Consider the following 3,637-nt stretch of genomic DNA (forward strand, 5'->3'; position numbering starts at 1 on the left):
CAAATACAGTTATGCACTTTATAATGGTGTTTTGGTCAAGGATGGACTATGTAGAAGATGGTGGTTCTGTAAGATTAGAATGGAGCTAAAAAGTTCCTATCACACAAATAATTATCATTGTGTTAATATTTCCTTGTACTATTCAATAAAGTAACATGCTGTACAAGTTTGTAGTCTAGGAGCAATATGCTATACCACTTAGCCTAGGTATGTAGGAGGCTGTACCATCTAGGTTTGCACAGAGATGAAACTGCCTAACAGTGCATTTCTCAGAACATGTAACCATTGTTAAGAGATGCATGACTGTATCAAACTAACTTTGCAAATTTTACTTGGTCATGGTATATAACCAGCTCTTCTATTTTCTAGAAAGTATTGTATAGAATTGGTGATAATTCTTTCTTTAAGTTTTGCTCATTCAGTGGAATGATCTAGGATGAAAGGTTTCAGCTCTAGGAATTTTTAGTCTATAAAATCAATGTCTTTGGTAATTATAAATTTATTTAAATGACCTATTTTATATTGGATAAGTTGTGATGTTTTATATTATTCAAAGAGTTGGTCCAATTCATCTAAATTGGCCAATTTATTTGTACAGATTTATATATAGTATCCCTTTATTATTTTACTATATGCATGATCTTTAGCAATATTCCATGTTTCACTGCTGATATAGGAAATTTGTGTTTTCTCTTCCCTCTTTATCACTCTGGTTAGAGGTCTGACAATTTTATAGATGTTAGTTAATACATTTCCTATATTATTTTCTGGATTTGTTTGTTTTTTTCTGCTCATCCTTCTGCTTGTTTTGTGCTTATTTTTCTCTTATATTACCAGATTCTTGAGGTGATACCTTTGATATTTGAATTGTTTTTTCTTGAATGTATACTCTGCTTTTATTGGGTGGGGTGTTTTATAAATTTCTATAAGATCCTGTTGGTTAATGGTATTGTTTAGTTCTTTCAGATACATGTGAATTTTCTCTCTAGTTCTTCTACCAAATGTTAAATGAGGGATGTTGATGTCTCCAATTATAATTGTGGGTTTGTCTATTTATCATTTCAGTTCTTTAAGCTTTGAACTTCACATATATTATACCTCCGTTCTTTGGTGCATGCATATCTAGGATTGCTGTGTCTTCAGGGTAGATTGAACCCTTTATTATATAAAGTATGTCTTTTCATATGATAATTCTCTTTGCTCTGAAATTTGTTTTATCTGATATTAGTATAGCAATTTGATTTATTTTGATTAACATTTTACAATATGTCTTTTTATTTTCAACCTGCCCACATCATTATGTTTGAAATGAGTTTTTGTAGATAGCAGATAGTCGAATTAGTCTCTTTAATTCACCCTACACATCTCTGGTTTTAAAAATTAGTATAGTTAGTCCATTTACACTTAATGTAATTGTTGATATATTAGGGTTTAAATCTGGCATTTGAGTATTTGTTTTCTGTTTGATTTTTCTGTTTTAATTTCTCTCTTTTTCTTTTACTGTTTTCCTCTTGGTTACATGAATATTTGTGAGTATTAGTATGGATTTATCTACATTATTTTTAGTTTATGTAATTGTAAGTTTTTTGTGGTTTCTAAATATTATATTATATATACATCTTATCACAGTCTACTGAAATTGTCATTTTAACCACTCAAGTAAGGTGTAAAAATCTTACTATTACATCTCTTCTAGCCTCCTTTATTTATCATATAATTGCCTTATATATTTCCTTTAAATTCATTTAGAACCACATCACAGAATGTAATAATTATCACTTCTACATTCAAACAATTTTTTAAAACTTAAGAGTAAAAGGAAAATCTGTATGTAGCATTTACCCATAGATTTTGCTTACTTTGTTTTTTCTTACTTCCTGATGTTCCAAGTTCCCTTCCTTAATGTTTTCTGTTTAGAAAACGTATTTTTGACATTGTTTAAAGGTAGATCTACTAACAACAGATTATCTAGGTTTTCCTTTACACGAAATAAATTTTATTTTACCTTCATAACTGAAGGTGATTTTCACTGGATATAGAAATCTGGATTGAAAGAATTATTTCCACTCTTGAAAATTGTTGGAAATTGTTTTGTCACTTTGTTCAACCTTCATAGTTTCCAATGAGAAATCTGCTGTAGTTCAAATAGGTTAATACCTATACATAAGGTTTGCTTTCTCTAAGACTACTTTCAAGATTTTTTTTTCAGTTTTCAGAAGATTGACTATGATGAGTCTTTGCATGTATTTATTTGGACTTTTGAAAAAAAGGTTTATTCACTTTCTTGAAGCTAGGGCTTTATCTATTTTGCCTAATGTATGAAAGTTCCAGCCATTGCATTTTCTTCCCTTAATGTTTCAGCCCCACCCTCTTTCTTCATTCCTGTAGGACTTTAGTGACATTAGTGCCAAATAATTGGGTATAGACCCCCATGTCCATGAAGCCTTGTTGATTCTTATGTGGGTGATATGGTTTGGATCTCTGACCCGCCTGAATCTTATGTTCAATTGTAGTCCTCAGTGTTGGAAACGGGGCCTGGCAGAAGGTGACTGGATCATGGGGGTGGATCCATCAGGAGTGATTTAGAACAGGATTGTGCTAAACCATTCATGAATGAACCACCCTCACGGCTTCCCTGGGCCACATTGGAAGAAGAAAAATTGCCTTGGGCCATACATAAAATATACTAACACTAATGATAGGTGATGAGCTAAAAAAAATCACACAGAAAACTTCATAATGTTTTAAGAAAGTTTATAGATTGTGTTGAGCCATTTTCAAAACTGTCCTGGGCTGCACACAGCCCATGGGCTGCAGGTTGGACAAGCTTGGTTTAGCACCATCCTCTAGGTGCTGTTCTTGTGAAAGAATTCTCATAATACCTGATTATTAAAAGTGTGTAGCACCTCCCCTGCCTCCCTATTGCTCCTATTCCAGCTATGTGATGTGTGTGCTTCCCCTTGGTCTTCCACTATAATTGGAAGCTTTCTGAGACCTCCACAGAGGCCAAGCAGATGCCAGCATCATGCTTCCTGTACATCCTGTGGAACTGTGAGACAATTAAACCTCTTTTCTTTATAAATTACCTAGTCTCAGGTATCTTTTTTATAGCAATTTGAGAATGGCCTAATACAATGTGTGTTAGGTGTGTGTGTGTGTGTGTGTGTGTGTAAAATTTCTTTATTTTTCATATTGGGTAATTTCTGTTCTATCTTAAAATTCAATGATACTTTCCATTTTCTTTTCAATTCTGTTGTTGAGGCCATCCACTAAGTATTTTATTTGTTGTTGTATTTTTTTAGTTCTATGTGGCTCTTCTTTGTATCTTGTATTTCTTTGCTAAACTTTCAAAAATGTTACTTAAAAGGTGTTCGTGATTGCTCATTGAAGGATTTTTATGATGGCTGCTTTAAAATTAATGTTAGGTAATGCTAACATCTGTATTATCTAAGTGTTGGCATCTGTTGATTGTCTTTTCTCTGATATTTTGAGATTTTTCTTGTTCTTGCCATGAGAAACATTCAATTTGGAGTTATAATAAAAAGATTTTCAGATTTAAAAAAACAAAGAAAGAAATGGGGAGAGATTTGTTCAAACACATGAACAATACATGAAATCAAGAAATACTAAAGTGTAA

The 3,637-nt window shown here is 32.3% G+C and overlaps 1 annotated feature.

The window, feature by feature from the left end:
• Positions 2,501-2,732: a silencer, noted in NCBI's record as "fragment chr4:45301595-45301826 (GRCh37/hg19 assembly coordinates)". NCBI's record gives its function as "represses an EF-1alpha promoter that drives an FKBP-Casp9 reporter gene in an ReSE screen in K562 erythroleukemia cells {active_cell/tissue: K562}" and the evidence as "EXISTENCE:reporter gene assay evidence [ECO:0000049][PMID:32094911]".

The sequence above is a fragment of the Homo sapiens genome, chromosome 4, assembly GCF_000001405.40.
Source record: "Homo sapiens chromosome 4, GRCh38.p14 Primary Assembly".
Taxonomy (NCBI): Eukaryota; Metazoa; Chordata; class Mammalia; order Primates; family Hominidae; genus Homo; species Homo sapiens.